The sequence below is a fragment of the Homo sapiens genome, chromosome 7 (genome assembly GCF_000001405.40).
Source record: "Homo sapiens chromosome 7, GRCh38.p14 Primary Assembly".
Classification (NCBI taxonomy): Eukaryota; Metazoa; Chordata; class Mammalia; order Primates; family Hominidae; genus Homo; species Homo sapiens.
The window spans coordinates 21,560,043-21,582,832 of record NC_000007.14 but is presented as its reverse complement, the minus strand read 5'-3'; the positions used below and the strand labels follow the sequence as shown (position 1 = coordinate 21,582,832).

Here is a 22,790-nt window from a genome sequence, read left to right as displayed (position 1 = left end):
GCACTGCCATTCTCAATGAATTATATCCATGATTTCTTAGCTCTTTTTCTTCTGATATTGAACCCTCCATCCCTCTTTTGGGACGTTATCTAATTATTAATTTATACTTGATTTGTGATTTTTTTCTTTGTCAAGCAAGTTTTACATGGTGTTGCTATTCCTCATATTATAAGCTTTTCATCTGGGGACACTATTGAGATGCTTTTCTTTTATATAACTCTTAACTGTATTTCATCAATTCTGTGACAAGCATACTTTTATGTTTCAAAATCTCTGCGACTGAAATACATTATGCAGTCAATGAAATCATAATTATTTGGCAGCATTTTTTATTGTTACACAAAATAATGGTGTGTCTGATAATCAATGATGTCTTATGCCTGGGTAAATACAGTATATAAATTGCTATTTGTTTCAGTCAGAATAATAAAATAGGCAGATGAACCTAACAATCTAAACAATGGTAAATAAAAGAAATTCCTGAATTAAGGTATTTTTCACTTTTCACTGTGACTTAATTTTGAATCAATATTTCATTGGCCAGGCCAAATTTGCTGTGAAGATAATGAGAGCTAAAACACTGTGAATGCAAGAACAGAACAGTAACTAAATGTCCTAAAATAATCTTGTCCAAAGTGTCATTATTCATTAGTACACTATTCAAAGTTTATTATTCAGTGAGCTGAATTTGAAGGGAATATGACTAGTTAACCTAGTGAATACTCTACCTGAATGAGAATTCACCCCTTTCATTTAACAGCCTATATTATTCATAGTAAACGTTTTTTATGATAGCTTCTTCAGAACTAACCTTAAATGCAGCTTCTAAGCCATTGCAGTTAAAGAAAGCTTCACAAATAATTGTCCCAAGCCTTCTGTCAAATTCCAGAGTTTTGGACTTAAATGCCACATAATCACTTTCAAACTCCTGTAAAATTCAAAGTGAAATATTAGTATATTGGAAATAATCCAACAGCGAAAATAGCAATCACACAAGCGTGACCTTACTTTAGCTCTCTCTCGCTCGCTCTCTGTCTCTGAGTGAATTTATTTTTCATAGCAGCATTCTACGGAAGTTCAAGAAAGAGCTATATCTGACTGACTGTGCAAGTGCCACCTTACAGAATCACTGAAAGCTTAGCACTGTTCCCCTATGCTTTCCCGATTCTTTTCAGTGGCCCAGGCCTCAACAGCAGTGCTTTGGCTCACATGCTCACATAGAAGCCTCAGTCTCTCCTCCTACTCCCAATTCATTTTGATTATAAATGAAAAAGTGAAGTTTTTCAGAAAAGAAAAAAGAACCTATCCTCATTATAACTTTAGTCCATCTATAAGTTTAAATAGGAAGGGTTTTTGTTTGTTTTTTCATGGAGTTGTAAATCTACACGGAAACACTATTTCTTCAGGTGAGAACTGAAATCCACTGGTAAGAAAATATCATTAGTGATACAGAGGAAACAAATACTCTTACGTTTTCCCAGTTTCTTATTAGCGTGCGTTTAGCATCCCTCAGTTTCCTCCTGATACATAACTATCCACTCCCATAGTTACAATGAAACGGTGAAAGAATAACTATTATCTTCACAGCATCAGAGTTGAGTCTCCAGTAAAGAAGTCCCAGGATTTCAGAAACATTTTGGTGCTTCATAGTCAAAAGGCCTCTGAAGTACACACCACAGATTTCTCACAATGAAGGCCTTTGCCACCTCTGTAAACTGAGCCTCAATCTATTAACAATAACAACGGTAATAGAATTAATGACAGTTAGCACGTGAGTAATTCTGTTCTAAATATTTCACATGATTAACTCACCTCTTACAACATTTCATGTAGGTTATAATTTTTTGTGCATTATAGGTGACAAAACAAACTCAGAGAAGTTAAATGATTCACCTAAAATCACACCACTGGTAAATGTCAGGGCTGGAATTTAAAGCCAGGCAACCTGGCTCCTGATCCCAGATGCTATGTTTCTTTGAAGGAATATACCTGCTAGAGTCTGAATGTTTTATGTCCTTGCAAAATTTTATTTTGAAATCCTAACCCTCAATACGATAGTATCAAGAAGTGGTGCTTTCAGGGGTGACTAGGTAATAAGTGTGGGACCTTCATGAATGGGATCAGTGCCCATATAAAAGAGGCCTGAGAGAGACTCCTCCATCCTTCCACCAAGTAAGGACATGGCTAGAAAGTGCCATCTGTGAACTGGGATGTAGCCCTCCCCAGACACTGAACCTGCGGGAGCCTTGCTCTTGGACTTCTCAGCCTCTGAAACCCTGAAAAATAAATTTCTGTTGTTTATAAGCTACCCAGTTTATCGTGTTTTGTTATAGCAACCTAAACAGAGGGCACCTTATGCTGAATTTCACACAAGCTGAAAAGCAGTGTAACAGCAAAGTTCTAGGACACTATGTGTCATACACCACAATGTTATATTTAGCATCAAGAGGAAGTTTCCACTTCTGAATTAGAGCCAAGCAATCTCTTTATTCAAGGCTCATTGGCTAATAAAGTAAACACAACTTCCCAACAAGTTTTAACACGCCTAACATCCCTCTTCTTAGTATAGTAATAGAGAACATACGGCTTAAGGTCACAAAACATTAACTGAACATTTAGAAATAAACATCTCAGGGAGAGAAAAATATGCTAGTCTCCCTCCCTGATATCTGTCACCTCCCTCCCTTCTCACTCACTCATTCCTGAAAACAAATTTAGAACTGCACGTGGGACCTCTCCCTTGGAAAGTCCCACAAAAAATTCATACCTAATTTGTTCAAGTACAAATCTGAACTTGTTATCTTCTCTACAAAGCTGCTCTTCTTTTTATACACCCTAATAGAAACTTGGGCAACCTCCTTGACTTCTCTGTCAAGTGCTCTTCTAACTACCTCTGGAGTCTCTCTACTATCCTCCATCTCCAGGATGCCCTTGGTCCAAGTCACCATTATTGCTCATCTGGGTATCTGTTAATCACTTTCTAACTACTCTTCGCCTCTAGTCCTATCTCTGATTCATCCTCCAATGGCTGACTAAATAATCTTTTTTAAAATAGAAATCTTATCATGTCACTTTCTTATTTAGAATCCTTTAACTCACAATCTTAATTCGGAATTGTCAGTTTCTTAGGATAACGTCCAAAGGTCTTAGCATAATCTACTGCATAAGACCCTATGTGGTCTGGATGCCACTTACTGCTCCTAACTATTCTGCCATCTCTCCCAATTTCACACTCTCAGATCCAGCCACAAAGCCTTATCACATTCTGTCTCTCTCCTTCACCCACTTCTCACCTGCTTCATTTCTATTTATGTTACAGGTCTCAGTTTACATTTCACCTCCTCTGGAAAGGGGCCCTATGTAAATGTTCTCAGAGCACTCTGTACTCTTCATACTCCAGCACCGGGCACCCATATGATAACTGCCTGTCTACATTCTCCCTTGGATTTTAATCTCTGAGTGTAACTGCCAGGTTTATTTTTCTTTCACAATTACAGTACCAATATTTAATGGAGTTCCCAGGACATAGCTGTTTCTCAATAAATATATATTACAGAATAAATGATGTGCTAGTATTGTTCAGAAATCATTATAAAAATGTTGCTGTATTCTGAAAACTGCATAATTGCCTTTATTAGCATCATGAGAAGCTATTGAAGGGTTGTAATTAGAGAAAAGCCATGGTTTGACTTAGTGTCTAAAAGGCACTCAGGCTGCCGTGTGGAGAACAAACTAAGAAAGCCAAGATGGGGAAGAGGGAGCAGTTTGGAGGCAAGTGCAATAAGCCAAGTCACAGAAAACACCTGGAAATACTTTCAAGGCATAGCTGAAAGAACTGGATGGTTGTTGTGAGAAAATGAGCAAGATTACAGATGACTCAAAGGTTTCTCACTAAGTAGCCCATTATATGTACCATTTAATGAGTTGGAGAGACAGGCAAGAGTAGGTTTGGGGAGGGACAGGCAGGGGTTTAGATCTGAATGTGATTTTGAGATGTGTATGAAATATCTCAGTGGAGACGTTGGGTAGGCAGTTGTGTTTGGCACATGTTTCTGTGGGTACACAGAAGCCAAGAGTTGAGCCTTGAGAACCTCCACCTAGATTTCAGAGAATGTATGGAAACACCTGGATGTCTAGGCAGAAGTCAGTTGCAGGAGCACAGCTCTCATGGAGAACCTCTGCTAGGGCAGTGTGGGGTTGGAGCCCCCACACAGAGTCCCCACTGGGGTACTACCTAGTGGAGCTGTGAGAAGAGGGTCACTGTCCTCCAGACCCCAGAATGGGAGATCCACTGACAGCTGGTAGATCCATACACCTGGAAAAGCTGCAGGCACTCAACATCAGCCAGTGAAAGCAGTTGTGGGGGCTGTACCCTGCAGAGCCACAGGGGTGGAGCTGCCTAAGGCCTTGGAAGCCCACCTCTTATATCAGCGTGTCCTAGATGTGAGACATAGAGTCAAAGGAGATTATTTTGGAGCTTTAAGATGTAATGACTGCCTTGGTGGGTTTCACACTTGCACAGGGCCTGTAGCCCCTTTGTTTTGGCCAATTTCTCCCATTTGGAAGGGGAATATTTACCCAATACGTGTACCTTCATTGTATCTTGGATAACTAACTTGTTTTTGATTTTACAGGGGATCATGGAGGGTGAATTTACTCTTTGTTGTTCTCATGACAGTGAGTTTTCATGAGATCTGATGGTTTAAAAGTATGTGGCACTTCTCCCTTTGCTCTCTCTCTGAACACTATGTGAAGAAGGTCCTTGCTTCCCCTTCATCTTCCATCATGATTGTAAGTTTCCTGAGGCCTCCCAGTTATGCTTTCTGTTAAGTCTGTGGAACTGTGAGTCAATTAAACCTCTTTTCTTCATAAATTATCCAGTCTCAGGTAGTTCTTTGTAGCAATGTGAAAATGGACTAATACACTACTTTAAAATCTTTTTCAAGTAATTCCAAAATCTCTATTATCTTGGTATTGGCATCTACTGATTGTCTTTTTTTCACTCAGTTGAGATCTTCCTGGTTCTTGGTATACTAACTGATATTCTACTGAAATTTCATATTGTTATAAGACTCTGACTCTTATTTAAACCTTTTGTTTTTGCTGACTTTCTCTGATGCTGCTCCAGCCTCATTACAATAGAGACAGAAGTCCAGGTTCTCCACTCGGCATTTACTCATCCACCAAGGGTGGGCGGGGCTCCTTGTTACCGCTGGGTTGGGACTTCCAGTTCCCCATGTGGTCTCTACTGCTGCCACAAGTGCAGGTGGCCTTGTTACCACTTGGCCTCAGGGTGATAGTCTGGACTCTCCATCAGGTTTGCTCCAACATCAGGCTGGGTGAAGAAGGAAATCCAGGATTCCCACATGGTCTCCGGACACCACAGAGAATGAAGTTCATTCCTGGCCAGCAGGGATGAAAATCATGGCTCCCTATGTGGTCATCTCTGACATCACCCCAGCAAGGGTGGGAGTTGGAGCATTTTCAGACAGAAAGGGTGTAAGTCTAGGCTCCCCACTCAGCTCTTCCTGGCAAGGGGAGGGGTGGGACACAGTTTCTTCCATGGTGTTTGGCTAGAGTGGACAGTTGATGGCTTACAAATCTTCTTTTGTGTTAAGCTCTCTCCTTCTTGAGCCTTTGGCTAGGGAGAGATCAGGCTTTTACTGGGCTTCTTTCTGGTCTGTGCCCACTGGCATTTCCTGGTTGCCAGTGTTTTCAGCTCCAAGTCTGGATTACTTCAGGCAACAGGAAAATCCAGGGAACTCATCATCACGTTGTTGTTTCTTGAGTCCCAATATCCTTAGCCACTCTGCCTTTTTCTTTTCACCTTTCAGAGTCTTCTTAGGTCTGTTTTATATATAATGGCCAGTGTTTTTTTTGTTTTGTTTTTCTCAGATACTGTTATTTTATTTCAGAAATAAGTAGTAACACACATAGACACATTTCTCTTTCTGCCTGCCCAGAAAACCACTACCCCAAAGTAAGTTTCAATCTTTCCCATGTGTGTTTTCACACTTTTGTTATAAACATCATAATATATATACATAAGTGTGCATTGAACACTTTGTTTTTACATTTCCTTGAAATACACTTAAGAATTCTGTCTTTCTTAATTGCTTACAGCACAAAGACCAGGTCTTCACGAGTAAGCTGAAATACAGCATTGACACTGATATTAGGCTAATTTATGCCCACAAAATGCTTTGGCCTAAAATATTCTGAGAAGCAAGGAGAACATCTGTCTTACTTCAAAAGAGCTGTTTATAAGCACAATCTCCCACTTACTTGCTTGATAGGGTCTTGGCTTAAGCCCTAGAAAGGATCAAACATATTATCCATACCCTCTATCAGAGTTTACATCTTTCAAGAGAGTCTTGAGTCAGTATTAAGATCTTCTGGGATCTCAGATCTTGGCTTCCTTTTATCTCCTCTCCCCTACAACCCCAAGAACAGTCCCTTAAACCAACTTGGTGCTTCCTTTCTGGGCTTCCTGCAATAGACATTTTCAAGGGTTGTTTGTGGCCGCCGTGCTTGCTGAGGCCTTTCAGGCAGGCAAGGAAGACACAACCTTGGAATATGTATCAATCCTGTACAAGATGAATCGCTGTCCTTCTTGGGTAATTAACTTCCTGCCAAGCAGCTGTTTGGTCTCCTCAAGGGATAATACCATGGTGGAGCCTCAGAGTCAATCTCCATCGCTGGCAGGTAGGATACTCAGCAGCAACAAGATCTAGAGGAGTCTCGGTGACAGGTGAGCCATGCTACTGTATAACGGCCAGTGTTTTAGTTGCACTTACTGGGAGCAGTAGGGAAAAGTACATCTCCCTCTTTCCAGAAGCAGAAGTTTCTCATTAAAATTTTAAACAATGATATCTACTAAATGACATTTTAAAATAAATAAGATAAACTTTAGTATATAAATCTGATGGAATGCGCAGTTGTTTTAAGATGAGCAATGCTATTGTAGTGACACAGAATGACTGCCAAAATATAGTAAGGGATAAAAGCAAGGTATAAATGCTATTAATGCAAAAGCAGAAAACAAAGGAATAAATATATGTATATGCCAGTGCATGCACCAAATATCTCTGGAACATCATATAAGAAATTTTTAATAGAGATGCCTTTGGGGAGGAAAAATGGAAGACTAGGGAAAAGGCCATAGGGTGAGAAGAAAGGGACTAAGTTTTTACAGATGTTACCTTTCCAAAAGAATTACTAAGGAAGGTTGCTAAATAACTCATTTAATCTTGAATAATAGGCAGGCAAAACATGAAAATGCTGTGTATGACTAATAAAGATGAAATCTGTTTAATTAAAATGAGAAAACACTACATAAATAGCAAAAGAATAGTTCAGTGAGTGACAGCAGAACAATAGACTCGTTCTAGGAATTAGAATACAACCTAGTACAGATGAACTAAATAACTACTTTTAAAATGTATTTTAGATTCTGATATCATGGTGAACAAGGCACCTGAATAAAGCTTCCCACTGAAAATCAGCAGAAAAGCAGACACAGCAACCTGGATCACTCCATCTCAGGCCATAGGTCCTCAGGTGAGTTCCCACAGATGAACTTATTCCTTTCATTTCAATGAGGATGCAACAAGCAAGATAAATACTAACAGGGTGGTGCAGTGAAAAGAATGCAGGGGCTGGGCATGGTGGCTCATGCCTGTAATCCCAGCACTTTTGGAGGCCGAGGCAGGTGGATCACTTGAGGCCAGGAGTTTAAGACCAGCCTGGCCAACATGGTGGAAAACCCCATCTCTATTAAAAATACAAAAGTTAGTTGGGCATGGTGGCACACTCCTGTAATCCCAGCTACTCAGAAGGCTGAGGCAGGAGAATCACTTGAACCTGGGAGGCAGAGGTTGCAGTGAGCTGAGATCATGCCACTGCACTCCAACTTGGGTGACAGAGTGAAACTGTCTCAAAAAAAAAAAAAAAAAAAAAAAAAAAGCCCAGTGCAGTGGCTCACGCCTGTAATCTCCTCAGCACTTTGGGAGGCCAAGGAGGGTGGATCATCTGAGGTCGGGAGTTTGAGACCAACCCGGCCAACATGGCGAAACCCCATCTCTACTAAAAGTACAAAAAAATTACCTGGGCGTGGTGGTGTGCCCCTGTAATCCCAGCTACTCAGGAGGCTGAGGCAGAAGAATCACTTGAAGCCAGGAGGCAGAGGTTGCAGTGAGCTAAGATCGCACCATTGCACTCCAGCCTGGGCGACAGAGTGAGACTCTGTCTTAAAAAAAAAAAAAAAAAGGAAGGAAGGGAGGGAGGGAGGGAGGGAAAACAAAAGTATGCAGGGCTTGTGGTTGAGAGTTCTGGATTCAAACTTCCATTCCACCAACTGGAAACTATAATCTCAGGTAATTTAGTGAAACTGTCATTTGCCTGCGGGACCACTCTCTGGGTTATAGTGAAAATTAAGCAGGTATATAATGTGGGAAATCTCTGGCACAACGCCTGGCATCCAGTACTTCGTCCATAAATATTAACTGGCTCTCATTAACAGAGACTAAGTGGAGCCAAGGGGTTACCCTCAACAAGAATAGCTACCATCTTTGCTTAGGTATCTGAGGGATTTCATCAAGAAACACCACAGAAAGACAGCAAAATTACTGAGTCTAATATTGCTGGACTAACTGTTCAACATTAATAATGAAGAAAGCAAGTCTCTTCCCATAACTGTCTAGATTTCAAACAGTCCCCTAAGAAGATGTCAAAGAAAACACCTAAAGTAACATTCAATAATTGAGAAACCCAAAACCATTTTTATGGGCACACCTGATAAAATCCCCACATTCTGTAAATGGACCACGGCAGCAAACCTTTCGGTACGCCAATAAAGGCTCAAAGCCTGATTAGTAGGCATGAGATTGATGAGAAGAGAAATAAACAACAGCATTTCAAAAAGCAAATTACCAGTGATCATTTCTTTAATTTACTGGAACATATTTAAACCATGTATATACCAAAGGGCAGAATGGCTGACCCTGACACACTTCCCTGTTATATAAGCACTAGTTTGTAGTCAGAGGGGATGGGGCAGGAGCAGGAACATGGGGGTGAATGCAATGGGAGGGGAAGGGCAGAGGTTGGGCATGTATTCATATGTACATGCAAATATATGCATACACTAGGTTGGAAGTCATTTGTTAAAATAATGTCTCAAAAACTACCAACTGATTTCATCATGAAGTCAAAGTACAAGGAACTCAGCTAAAAAGCACCAAAATGAACAGCTTATTAAGCAAAAATATATGATAAATGCAATATTTTAAAGTAATAATGATAGGCAAAACACATTTTTTTAAAAAAGTAATGGTCATTTTCAACATAAGTATGCTGATTAAGTTAACTTTTAGTTAATTCATGTTTTAATTTTAGGGAATGACCAAAGTCAAGGAGCTTCTAGATTCTAAGGCAAGAATCAGACAGGAGGATGAAGGGAACTTCAGGGGAAGGTTATGATGTCTCCAACCAGACCGAAGATCAGAGGTAAACCCTGCCCACCTTATCTGCAAAATAGAATAGGCTTCCAAAATACAAATACCAAGCAGATATATACCTCAAGAGTAAATGAATTTTCTATTCCTACATGTTTGTGACTATGCAGGCTTTAGGCAGAGACAGGAGTAAAATCAGGACCTTTGGCATGGCCAAGGTAGTGACGTCAATTAAACCTGGCCACATTCTCTAATTCTGGCACTCTGAAAACTTGCCAGTTTTTGTAATTATAACAAAATCAAGACTCTCTTGCAATCCAAATGTCCCCAAGGATCTTGTGCAGGCTCAGTCTCACACTCCTCCTCCACTAGCTCGTTCAGCGGCGCTAACCTAGAGGCTCTCTTAAGAATCCCATTCTGTACGTATTTATTGAATGCCTTCCAAGTGCCAGGCATCTTACAAGGCTTTGGGGATGAGCTCACTCAAATTATTCATCACCATGATCCTAGGTTCCTCATACTTTTTCACAAAGTGTAGTGCCCTGGTTTAGCAAAAAGTCACCTATTACAGCAGTGTCCTTCTACCATTAACTCCACTTTCCAAAACTGACTATAATTCAGAGGGCTTAAGTTTGCTAACTACATCCTTATAAAGCTAACATACTGCACTCGTACACTTCAAAGAATCAATTGTTTGGCCAAATATAAACAATAGTGAATAAACTCACATTACATATACAATAATAAGAACAAGAGCTAAATCTTCATTCTTTTGGACTTGGGCTTCGCTGTTCTTGGCAAACTACTAAAATGAAGCTATTTTTATCCTAGAACTGCAGGGATGCTCACAGGTAGCTCCCTGGCTACTAACATGCTGGAACTGACAGAGCACAGAAGCAGCTTAAATCAGAAAGGTTCCCCCTTTCCTGTGGTTGGAAATATGAAATTATAATCAGCTCTCAAGAATAACAAAAATTATAAGAAACAACCAACATGTAAATGATACACTTAATGACTGGGGTGAAAGCAAGTGTTCAGGTGAATCAAAAAACAAAACATCCAGTGATTCAAGAAAATGCTAAAATAAAGCACGAGTTACATGGACATCAGATCAAAATGAATTCATGTGGAAAGTTTCTGTTTAGCATACACAAACAAGATACAAATCCAGACTGAGGTCTGCAGTTTTATCAGCCGTCATTCTGAACTGAAAATGCAAAAGCTTAAGTTCTGATCCCTGATCTACTAACTAAGTAGCTACAAGACTTCAGGCAAGTCATGTAACCTCTTTTGGTCCTAGAGATATTGGAATGGATGGTCCCTATTATCACTGTGACCTATCTTCCTTTTCAGCTATAAAATTATAGGATCCCATGCAATGAAAATGCAAAGGTACAACATTACCATGTTAGTGCAATCAGATGGGTCATAAGTGCTCTGTTTAAAAAGTTTACAGAGTTCCATAAGTTCTTCACTCATCTCGTGGACTTGTCCATTTAAAATTGCTCCTTTGGTACCACCAAATTCCAGTCTTTCCAGCTTTTCAAATTCCAAAGTGGTGGCAAATATATCCTTTGTAAAAAACACAGTAAAGACCTTTCCACTACATTGAGCAGCAAAATATTTTAAAGTTTCAAATCAAGAACATTTTCAAATGTTCAAAATCAATGAGTCAATGACAGAAAATGACAGAAAATAAATATTTTCATGACAGAAATAAGTATTTAATTAAACAAAGTCATTGCTAATTTTTAAAATTACTCTCCCATTTTCATGTTTATTAAAAATTAACTCTCACTGGCCAGGCACAGGGCTCACGCTTGTAATACCAGCACTTTGGGAGGCCGAGGCAGGAGGATCGCTTATGCCCAGGAGTTTGAAACCAACCTGGGCAACAAGGAAAGATCCTGTCTCTATGAAACATTAAAAAGTTAACTAGGCATGGTGGCGTGCACCTGTAGTCCCAGCTACTTGAGAAGCTGAGGCGGGAGGATCACTTGATCCAGGAGGTCAAGGCTGCAGTGAGCTGTGTTCACACCACTGCACTTCAGCCGGGGTGACAGAATGAGACCCTGTCTCTAAAAAAAAGAAAACAAAAACTATCTCGCAGTAGAAGCAACCTCTAATTTACCATAACTAGACACATAACTCCCCCAATTTTATATCTTCCTAAACGTAAGTCAGATCCCCAGGTAATATCCAAAACTCCTGTTTTCATCACCCCATACCCGGCAGTGAGTCTGCTTTATTGAAAGCGAGCCCAGGAAACTGTTAAGGAAGGCATATGTAAGCTGCCCTTCATTAGGTATTTCACATTCAGAGACAGAAGAGGCATTCAGGCTCATTTAAGTGATTACGAGAATTCTCAAGACATAAAGCTCTAATTTTGAATGGAATAAAACAAACCTTTATCAATGACAATGCCCAAAATTCTTAGAGCTTTACAAAGAAAATAAGGCAGTGTCATCAATTTAAACTTTTTTTTTTTTTTTTTAAACTAAGCCAATAGACACCATATAAATGTAAGAATGTGTAGGTTGTATGTGTTTAATTTTTGGTTTTAAGGTATTTGAAAACTTTTACACAGAGCACATACTTTTCCATGTTTTATTTTTACAAATGGTTTTAATATTTTTGTAGTACAGCATATATTCATATACTAAAAAAGTGTGATAATTTAAATTATGCAATGGGTTTTAGGGTATGAAATACCAATTTTAAGCATTAAATATACAAAAGGAAAAGTGGATTTATTTACAGAGGATGAGCTTACTGCTTCCTGACTTACAACTCTCTCTCAGATTAGTCAATTCTAAGAGTCACTGATACATAAAGAGATTTACTTATACTCAATGTAATAATGGAATCAAAAATGAACTTTTAAAAAATCCAAATTAAAGATTTAAAAAATGCCCTTGTATCATCATAGCATTGGCCTGCTGAGCTCCTTATGAGAATCACTGAGAAAGGAGACCTCCACCTATGATATAAAGTAAACTGTTCCATGAATCATGTGAAAAGCTACTGGCTTTTTGCACCCACCTTCAACATGAATAAATAAAATCAAAAAATGAATACCTCTATTTTTATTAAACGATCAAGAAACTTGTCAAATCTGCAAAACACCAGATGAGACTGGAAATCCCATGGTCTCAGCTTTCTTCCCATAAAGTAGCTTGCCAATTTTTTTCTATAGTTGAAAAAGGAGTTTTTGAAAGTCTTTAAGATGTTAACAGCCACCTGCACCTTTTCCAGTGACTCTTCTATTTCTCCCCTCAAAAGGTCCTCAGGTGAAAGGTAAGCTGTTGCCTAGGATTTAATGAAAGGGAACAATGATCAAAACTATGTTTAACAGTTTTTCCCTGTAACCGTCTCTGTTTCAAAGAATCATTTTTAAATGCCAGTATCTAAAGTTGGGCCAGCAATGCTGAAAGAAAGAAAGCACAAGTTCTAGAAATTCAGCTACTTGGACTTCAATGACATACTTGTATAAGTTAGAATTACATACAGGAGACCCTACTATTTCTGGATTTTTACATTCTAGCAAATGACTAAATTGTTGCTAAGCCTCATTATATGACAACTGTCATGTAATTTGCATGACTGTGCCTGCCAGCAAATATTCTGAACAATCGTTTTCTCATCTAAAGAATATACGAGGCAGACAAGGAAATCTATCAGAACATGAATTTTTAAAGTATGCTCACTTTACCTGGTAGTTCAGGACCACTTGTAAAGAGAAAGAGCTGATTAGGAGTGTGTAACAGTGGAAATTCTTTCAAGTTAGCAAACTTCTCTTCTGGGGGCTCAAGTAACATTATAGGACATACAAACTGGCTGACGTGTGCCACATGAACTAGTTTTGAATAGAGGAAAAGAAAGGAAGAGAGGAGAAGGATAAAAGAAAAGACTGGAAGATCCACGTGGCACTGGTCAAATTCTCATGGGATCAACCGACACTCCCAACTTCTTCTCTCTTCATATTTGGTATAAACATTCAGAATTCCCCTCTTCAAGGACCAAGAACCTCTGCATTCTGAAGGTTCTTTTGTATGCTACCTCTTCCTGACGCATCTTAACCTCATATAAATTATAGGTTTAATTTGTGTGCCTTCAATTTTGTGGTCGCTTAGAATGTTGTTCAAGATGTCAATGGATAATGTAATGAAAGCCCTGAGTTCAAAATAGCAGAGGGAAGCACTTCTTCCCTAAATGTAGGCATATGACCTTTCATTTCCCATTAATGAAAACAGTTTTACATGCAATATAGGCTCTGTGCCATGAATTTGTAAGGCAATAAGGAAATCATTCATTTAGTGTCTAAAACCCCTACTGATTAGACTCCTTCCCAATCTATGCTTTTATTTCCCTGTCAGGTTAGATAGAAAATTAACCTCCACATGAGGGTGCTATAACAGCAAGTCATTCAGGGCAGTGAAGAGAACCACCAGGAATCCCTCAGCAATGTGAATTTTAAAAGAGTTGACACTTTGATGTGGCATATGGTGTATTCCATATACCTTTATCTCTATGTATTCTTTATAGTAAATGTGTCTTTTTAGGATGCTGAAAAATCTATGGCAAACGACTCCATCTTTTGCTCGAGTGGCCCTTTCTGCTTCAGCAGCCCCCTGTTACCTAATTACTTGTATGTAAAGTAACATCCCTAGGACAAGTCATGCTTAATGTTTATTCCTGTGCTTCCTGGCTGGCCCCTCGCATAGATGAGACAATCATAGACAAAGAACCTCCTGTTCATACAGCCCACTGTTGAGTAAGGCCTCCTAAGATGGCACTTAATGTCCTAAATGAAAACACTCAGTCTGTCTCCTTGCACGGGGAGGCAGAACGTGTGAAGGAAAAAGCATGACCCGACGCAGGGGCTGGCTGTGACCCTACTAGGGGCCACAAACTACTTTTGTGATACTAGCTAAGTTGTCTCAGAGGATCTATTTCCTTAGCTGCAAAATGAGGGAAATGAATTAGGTGAACTTCAAAATCCCTTTTAGCTCATAAACTCTAAATTCTTTTCTACCTCTCACAGTACCCAGTCTGGAGCACGCCTAACCACACCAGCTCTATCATCGCACACTCAATGGTACCAGCACAAACAAGCTAAAAGCCACTAGATTTAGGATGAACTAGTCCCACTTCAGAGGTCTTATAAACTAAAACACTGCTTACCAACTTATTTATCAATAAGCTAATGATCAATTAACCAATTTACCAATGATATTGTTAGTTTGAGGCTCGTCTCCCTGCTGCTGCTTCTCTATTCTTTTGCATGTGTTTTTATGGACTGTTATTTTAGCTCAGTCCTGACAGCTCCACTCCACACTCGACTACTCAGACTTTAACTCTTCCTCACCTAGGATCTTGTAGGTGACAATATCTACAATAGATACACCAAGCCATGGAATAGACAACGTAGTGTCTAGAGTGGTAATGACACACAAGGACCATGGAGTAGTGTCAGGTTACCAGAGAAGAAAGGCAAGGCATTAAGACCCCACTACCAAAGCCTGTGCTAGCACGCAAGGTGAACAGGTGATGCCTTTTATGTGTCTGGCCTAGATAATGATGTTAATGTTCACTGCTAGAAAACAAGAGAAAAGAAATACATTTGCTTTTAAAGTAACAAAGAGTTTCCGACTCTGACTGGCATTCCCGTCATAGGGTCAAGCATGTAATGAAACTGAGTAAAGTAGATCAGAAAGGACAGTGAACAGTGAAGGTCATGGTCATCTACACAGCACCTGTTCCACCTTAAGGGGCATTTGAAGTTACAGTCACTGGCTGCGCCTGTGGGGATGGTGCAAGCACTGTAGCAAGATCTCTGAGTTTTCAGTGGAGGCTGAAATGCTGGCATTTAAATGAGATCTATCCAATTTAAGTATTAACAATTTTAAGTTAAAAATATTATACAAAATAAAAACACTGCATTGATCCTTGGGCCGAATGAGCTGACAGCATGTCAGCTTATGACCTCTAATATGTAACATAGGAAGGGCTTGAATTTTCACAAAAACTTTATCAATAAATTCATGAACGCAAAGAACATGTAGGTGACAAGAGGAAATACAATTATAGAAAACATAAAATGTGTAATCACACATATATCATGCAAGGTACAAATTTAAAAACATGTTACCACTAGATACCCAATAAATGACCCCAAATTTTTTTAAAGATGGCAATGCTCCAAGTTGACAGGTCATAGTGAAAGCTTTTACACATTGATAATAACAATGTAATTGATATAACCTTTTAGAAAATAATTTGAAAGTATTAAATATTGCTCAAGAGCCATGAAAAGATTGTACCCTTTGACCAACATCAGGAATTTATAGTAAGCCAATCATTCCAGTCAAAAGAGGGGATCTTTGTATAGTTTTTTTCTGCATACTGTTTACAATCAAGGAGGCTGGAAGCAACTTACATATACAGCAATAACAAAATAATCTTTCAAGAAGTTAGTACAAAATTGTATGCATGATAAAATGTATAAATATATATAAGTTTAGGAGGACAGAAAAATAAAAATGCTTTAATAATAGAGTGATAAAACTCCAGAACCATTTCCAATGTTCCAACATTATGCAATGAGAATATTTTACAATTATCGTTAGCATACCATGTATTAGGTCACATTCAGACATTAAAAAAACTTATTTTAAAATATGGAGCATGGTATAACGGGTGAGAACTCTATTACTGACTTGCTGGGTTGGAGAGTTACTTATCTTCTTAGGCTTCAGTGTTTTTTTTTTTTTCATTATAAAATGAAGCTACTAATAATACCTACGTCATAGTGTTGCTATGAGGGTGTAACTTTTGAATTTTTGTAAAGGGCTTGGAAAAGCTCCTGAACAAAATAAGTACTATATAATATTTGTTAAATAACTATATAAAAGTAGTAAAATTGGTGGCAGGGTGGTTAGTGCTTCAGGGAACCAGCTATGGACATTGGCTAATTGTTAACTTTTGACTCCTAACATGTTGGGCATATTTACCACAAAGTCTGAAATCTGCCGTTCATAGAATCAAAGGAATCGGGTCAATGAAACCTTTGGATAGAAGCCAGAACTAAGGAACAAGAGAAGCCACATTATTTTATCAGGAGCTTGGCAGACTCTGGCTGTTGAAAGACTAGAAGCCAGGGATGAGAAGTTTACAGGCTTACGGGTAACTAGGACTTAAAATAAGTCACCTATGCCAACAAATGGTCTCCTCTGTGATTCATACGTTAACAAGGATTTGCAGTGAAACAGTTTCAATTATTCTCAAAATGAGAAATAGGTCCCTAAAAAGGGGTTTGGGGGAAGTGGTGGTCGTAGTTTTTGGCCCTGCAACAGGGATTGTGGTGTTTTACATAGAGACCCGCGCCATTAGGACCCAGGGAACCTGTTTAACAAAAGGGCAAAACTGAGTTTGCCCAACAGAGTAACAGATATTGAACAAAACCAGAGGAGATGATGGTAAAATATAGCAAGGAATCGACCTGTTGTTATCTGCTACCACCAGCTGCAACTAGCCTGTAAGTCAATAGTTTGGGCAAAAGAACAGAAGGCAACTAACATTTACTGAGCCTCGATTAAACACCGAGCACTACGCTGGGCATTTCACTTAGGTTATCTTTGAATCCTCGCAATAGCCATGGACTAGGCATTATCCCCACTGATAGATGTGGGAACTGAGGAGTAATTGAACTTCCCTTAAGTGAGAAAATTAGATTTCAATCCAGGTTGGTCTAGGTCCAAAGCCTTTCCCACACACCACTCTATCTTTTCAGAATCAGAGAGGGAAGAGAGATGAAAAATATTAACAATGCAACCTCATACTCCAAAAATTCTAAGCTGCAAGTCTGCAGACCTGTTCTTTGGTCTGGCTTTCCTCCTAACTGCTCAGGGAAATTGAGCAAATAACATCATTTTTCAAGTCTTGGTTAATTCATTTGAAAAATATCTGAATTGTGTCCATTCAAATTGATAAATATTGAAAGCCTAACTCCCAATGTGACTGTATCTGGATATAGGGTCTTTAGGAGGTAACTGTGATTAAATGAGGTTGTAAAGATGGGGCCTTAATCCGACAGGACCTGTGGTCTTACAAGAGGAAGATGGCCAAGTGAGGACACAGTGAGAAGGCAGCCAGCCATCAGCAAGCCAGGAAGAGGGCCCCCACCAGAATCTGAGCACGCTGGCACCCTCATCTGAGACTTTCAGCCTCTAGAACTGTGAGAAAATAAATTTCTGATGTTTAACCTACCCAATCCATAGTACTTTGCTATGGCAGCCTGAGAAGATTAAGACTAAGTGGTTCCAAATAAGAACCACTGGATTATGTAGCATCCAAGTATCTTTTACCTCTCAAATTATGTAATACCCTCTGGTACTGTGAACATGGAAGAATCCACATTCACACAGACAGGATGAGGACACAGAGGAAGGTGGTCCTTTTTTTAAATTTTTTTTTTTTTAACATTTTGCAGGTTGAGTAAGGAATAGAGACACAATTACAAAAGAGATTTTAAAAGATCAGCAATGAATCAGAATTTTTTCAATACAATTCTACTACTTTTTTAGGATTTTCTTTTTGCCAGATGCTCTTAACTTACCACACTTTCCAAAAGGCTTTTATCAGCCAGTGTTTCTGTGAAAACCGAAGGGAAGGCTACAAAGAAGGTACTACACATGTCTGTCTTTTGCTGGAAGCTGCCTTAAAGCCTTTTGAAGAAAGGTACAGATGTTAAACAAAACCAAGCAACAACTTGTCCTTTGATTATGTCTGACTTATTTTCATAGCTTCCTGCCATTTAGGATTAAAAGGTTACCTGGCCTTTGTTACCAAAAATGTCCTTTCTGAAAAAAGAAAAAGAAAGATGGTGTTCTTACTGTATACTAGATTATTCTTCACTAGTCTCGTAAAACCTACCTCACAGCAACAATTCTTATTGTTCCTGTTTTTTGATGCTTCATACCTGGTTAATGAAGAGATTACAAAACTCTTGCAATAAAACTATAACCCGAGCTGGGGTGTTATAAAACTTGGAATGACTCCAGATCAGACAGATGGTATGAAATAATGGAGCGATTAATATGCGTGTCTGTGGGAATTCCGTCTCCTGGAGACACTGGATGTGTCTCCTCAGAGGTCTCAGGTAAAGTTCCACATCTTGGGCTTCGAGAAGAGCTGAAAGCAAAGAACCACCATTAACGTGATTCTGGTTTGTTTTTTTTTTTTTTCTAAATTCACTTTACATGTAGAAGAGAGCCACGTAAAACAACATGGCCACACTTAAATGTTGTCATAGTTCCTTTTATATTACTTATCCTACAATCTACACACGAGCAATTTGGAAGACTTATACGCTGTCCATCTGTAACTGAGTCATCTGGGAGAGCACTGATCTAGTTACCCACATAGCATAAATAAATTGTGATGGAAAACCCAAGGGGAAAATACCCCTGGAGTCTAAAGAAATTTACTCAACCCTGTGGAAACTGTCGGAATAAAACCTCTCTGCAATGTTGTCACTTTATGGCTTGGATTACAAACTTCATCACTAGAATGTTAATTCCTTCTAGGAACTTGGTATGAGCACAATTGAATTGTTTACTCTCTCATTCCAGTTTCCTATGACAGTAACTCATGCAATGATTGAGAAAAATTATATCATTAATAAAGGTTTAACTTAAAATTGTTAAGTACAGTGATGAAAGGATTTTGAAACTCGACAGAGGTGAGGTTGTACAACATCATGAATGTACTAAAACTGGAATGAATTACATACTTTAAAATTGTTAATTTTATGTTATGTGAAGTTTATTTCAATAGAACAAATGTTAAGCATGGTAAATATTTTTTTTAAATGCTACAGCGGGCCAGGTGCAGTGGTTCATGTTTGTAATCCCAGCACTTCGGAAGGATTAGTTGAGTCTAGGAATTCGAAACCAGCCTGGGAAAGATAGCAAGACCCCATCTCTACAAAAAACTTAAAAATTAGCTGGGCATGGTAGCAGTTGCCTGTGGTCCCAGCTCCTCAGGAGGCTGAGGTGGAAGGATCACTTGAGCCTGGGAGGTCGAGGCTGCAGTGAGCCATGATCATACCACTGCACTCCAGCCTGGGCAACAGAGCAAGACCCTGTCTCCAAAAAAGAAAAAGGAAGAAAAAAATCAAACAAAAAAATGCTATAGATATGAAAAAAAATTTAAATATTTAACTCTCATTAATGACTGCTTAATTGAATCCAAAGTTTTCTCTTGCTTAGCACTGATCCTTTTAATATACCCTAAATGGATCTCCATGAGATTCCATTTTGCTCCCAAGGCTACAAATACCCTTGAGGAACTGAGAACAAATTTTATTATGAAAGTAGGGAACAAAGTCAAGTAAATTCTAGTTTTTGTTGTTAACCCAAAAGACTTGTGTCAAGAACAAAAAAAACCCTGCTGAATTTTGTCACCAGGAGTCAAGGATGAACCCAGACACTTGATGTGTAACCAATTAATCTGTCTGTGTAACCAGTTCATCTGTCTATGTAACAATAAAGCCCTGAGAATAAAAAGAATGTTCAGGAATTATTTTCTTTCCCAGATGTACTCATGTTTCAAAATTACTATTTTTATCAATGTTTATGTCAAAATTATATAATCGTATCTAGTAGGTAAGTGCCCTTAAATATTAAGTGTCCTTAAAATGTGATCAGCATGTGTGGTGACTCCACAATGCCTGAAGTGTGTCTTTGAGAAGAGCTTTCTTCCTTCAACTTGACCATGAGTTTGAGCCACTTGTTCTATTGAGAAGTGTTTTCTTCCTGAATCTCCAGGCCACACATGCATAAGGCTCAGAGGAACCCTGGGATTCATTCCTGCAGAATCTGTAGCCAGAGAAAATTTTCATCTTATGCTAACACAGAAAAAAAAATGCCAACAGCTTCTATTTATTGAAGCATACTTACTACATGTCTAGTACCTTGCATAGTGTATAATATGCTATCCTTAACCCAGTGATTCTCAACCAGGAGAAATCTTGCCCCCAGGGGACATTTGGCCATGTCTGGAGACATTTATGATCATCACAACAGGGATGGAGCCAGCAGGTAAAGGCCAGAGATACTGCTAAATATCCTACAATATGTAAGATGGCCCCCCACAACAAAAAAATTATCTAACCCAAAATGTTGATCATGACAAGATTAAGAAATACTAAATCCACATAGCAACTCTTCAAGGAAGGTGTTAATAGGCCAATTTGGCCAATGAAAAACCAGAGGCTTAGCAAATTTAAAATGCTCAGTAAGCAGGGTTGGGACAGGAATTCAGATCTTACAGAGCCCCTGCTGTATATATTCCTCCTTATCTTATGCCCTCTTTTTAAACAGAATTCATGCAGAAAACCCTAAAGATGTATTAAAACATTTTTGAAGTGAATTTTCAGTATTTCCTAACTTTCCAAATGTCACGTGGGAAAAAATAAACTTTTTAATATTAGAAACAAAAAAAGTTACTTGTCCATATTATCTATTTTATTATTTAAAACCACAGTATCATGTATATCCATAACTAAATGCTTATACATGTGCAAAGAAACATGAACAGAAATCAAGGAACTGAGCAGGGTTGTCATCTTTGGGTGGGGCTGAAACTAGAGAGTGGAAGGACAAGGATGGTGAGAAGACTTTCGACTGGATATCATTTTATGATTCCTGGTTTGTAACAAGATGCATGCATTGTCTATTCAAAGTTCAACAAACCCTCCACTCTGTACATTTAATCTTCACCAAAACTTCAATGATGGCTTTGAGTGTTTGCAAGCTAAATAACTGGTTACCAAGCACACTCAGAGAACTGAACTGATGAATAACTAGACTCACCATAGCCCAATCTGTTGATTGGAAAACCTCTATCCAGACTTATTTTTTTTTTTTAACTCCGAATGAAGGCCTCACTCCTCCACAAACATTCTAATTAAAATTTCAATCTGGAGCCATTTTGGCAGGTACTACTATATACCAGATAAACTAAAAGTAGTTTAGTATGGGTGGAGAATATAGTACAAAGGGTGAGATGAATTTATCATTAGAAGAGCCATGAGCAATCACTCCACAAACATGGCGGAAGGGTAAATATCAAGGCCGAGCAGGCAGGGGCTGGATCATGAGCAGATGGTGATATTGATGCCAGGCTGAGGAACAAGAGTCTTACCATTTTCCACAGCCAGAAAAATGTCCTTCAGAGTAGGAAAATAGCTGCTTTGTTTAGTTGTCAGGATCTTAACCATTTTGAGGACAACAGGTGCCTGAAGCTAAGTTAAAGGAAAAAAAGAAGAACTTTAATAAATATAAACTCGATTACTAAATACATGCATTCTGTAATAAAATATTTAAATTCCATTTCACTCACAAGTGATACAGTATTTAACACTCAAAGTTATATCTGGTTTCCAGTTGAAAATAATTTTAAAAATACATTTTTTTCTTAGCCTTGTATTTTATTTTGCATTTAGGTTTTTAAATTTGGATATATATTATTATATGTGATAGTTATAATTGAGTGTCAACTTGATTGGATTGAAGGATGCAAAGTATTGTTCCTGGGTGTGTCTGTGAGGGTGTTGCCAAAGGAGACTAACATTTTGAGTCAATGGACTGGGAGAGGCAGACTCACCCTCAATCTGGGTGGGCACCATCTAATCAGCTGCCAGAGCAGCAAGAATAGAGCAGGCAGGAGAAGATGGAAAAGCAGACTTCCTGAGTCTTCTGGCCTTCATCCTTCTCCCATGCTGGACGCTTCCTGCCCTTGAACATCAGAATCCAAGTTCTTCAGCTTTTGGACTCTTAGACTTACACCAGTGGTTTGCCAGGGGCTCTTGGGCCTTTGGCCACAGACTGAAGGCTGTACTGTTGGCTTCACTACTTTTGAGGTTTTGGGACTCAGACTGATTCACAACTGGCTCCCTTGCTCCTCAACTACAGACAGCCTATTGTAGAATTTTACCTTGTGATCCTGTGAGTCAATTCTCCTTAATCAACTCCCTTTCATATATACATATATCCTATTAGTTGATCCATCTAGAGAACCTAATATATTATATATGTAAAATATTAATTTTTCCATATAAAATTTCTGTTTCAGAAAATCTCCAAAAGACATGTGAATGGATGTCTTAACTTTTAGAACCTTAAGTAAGTAATTTGTATGGCAAGCACCCAGCAGAGGAACCAAAGTTAGTCTTTCCAAAGCTGTGTCTCTCTACCAAGCAAGACCTCACTCCTTCCCAAATCAATTAAGTTGACTAATTAAATTTTCCAGTCTTCAACGCTTCCCTGGGTA

The 22,790-nt window shown here is 38.8% G+C and overlaps 1 protein-coding gene and 1 long non-coding RNA gene across 2 annotated transcripts in view; one reads left to right on the top strand and one right to left on the bottom strand.

The window, feature by feature from the left end:
• DNAH11 (dynein axonemal heavy chain 11) overlaps positions 1 to 22,790 on the bottom strand; it is a 358,801-nt gene that overhangs the window by 319,007 nt on the left and 17,004 nt on the right. The window contains exons 5-9 of the mRNA NM_001277115.2: positions 21,663 to 21,762; positions 18,436 to 18,647; positions 12,534 to 12,764; positions 10,860 to 11,027; positions 812 to 928 (exon numbers count right to left, since the gene is read on the bottom strand). Of these exons, the coding sequence (NP_001264044.1) occupies positions 812 to 928; positions 10,860 to 11,027; positions 12,534 to 12,764; positions 18,436 to 18,647; positions 21,663 to 21,762 (828 nt within the window). The remainder of the gene's footprint in view (positions 1 to 811; positions 929 to 10,859; positions 11,028 to 12,533; positions 12,765 to 18,435; positions 18,648 to 21,662; positions 21,763 to 22,790) is intronic.
• Positions 6,691 to 22,747, top strand: LOC105375183 (uncharacterized). The gene is made up of 4 exons (XR_007060247.1): positions 6,691 to 6,751; positions 7,451 to 7,560; positions 9,397 to 9,507; positions 22,593 to 22,747. It is a non-coding gene; the product is annotated as an uncharacterized LOC105375183 (long non-coding RNA).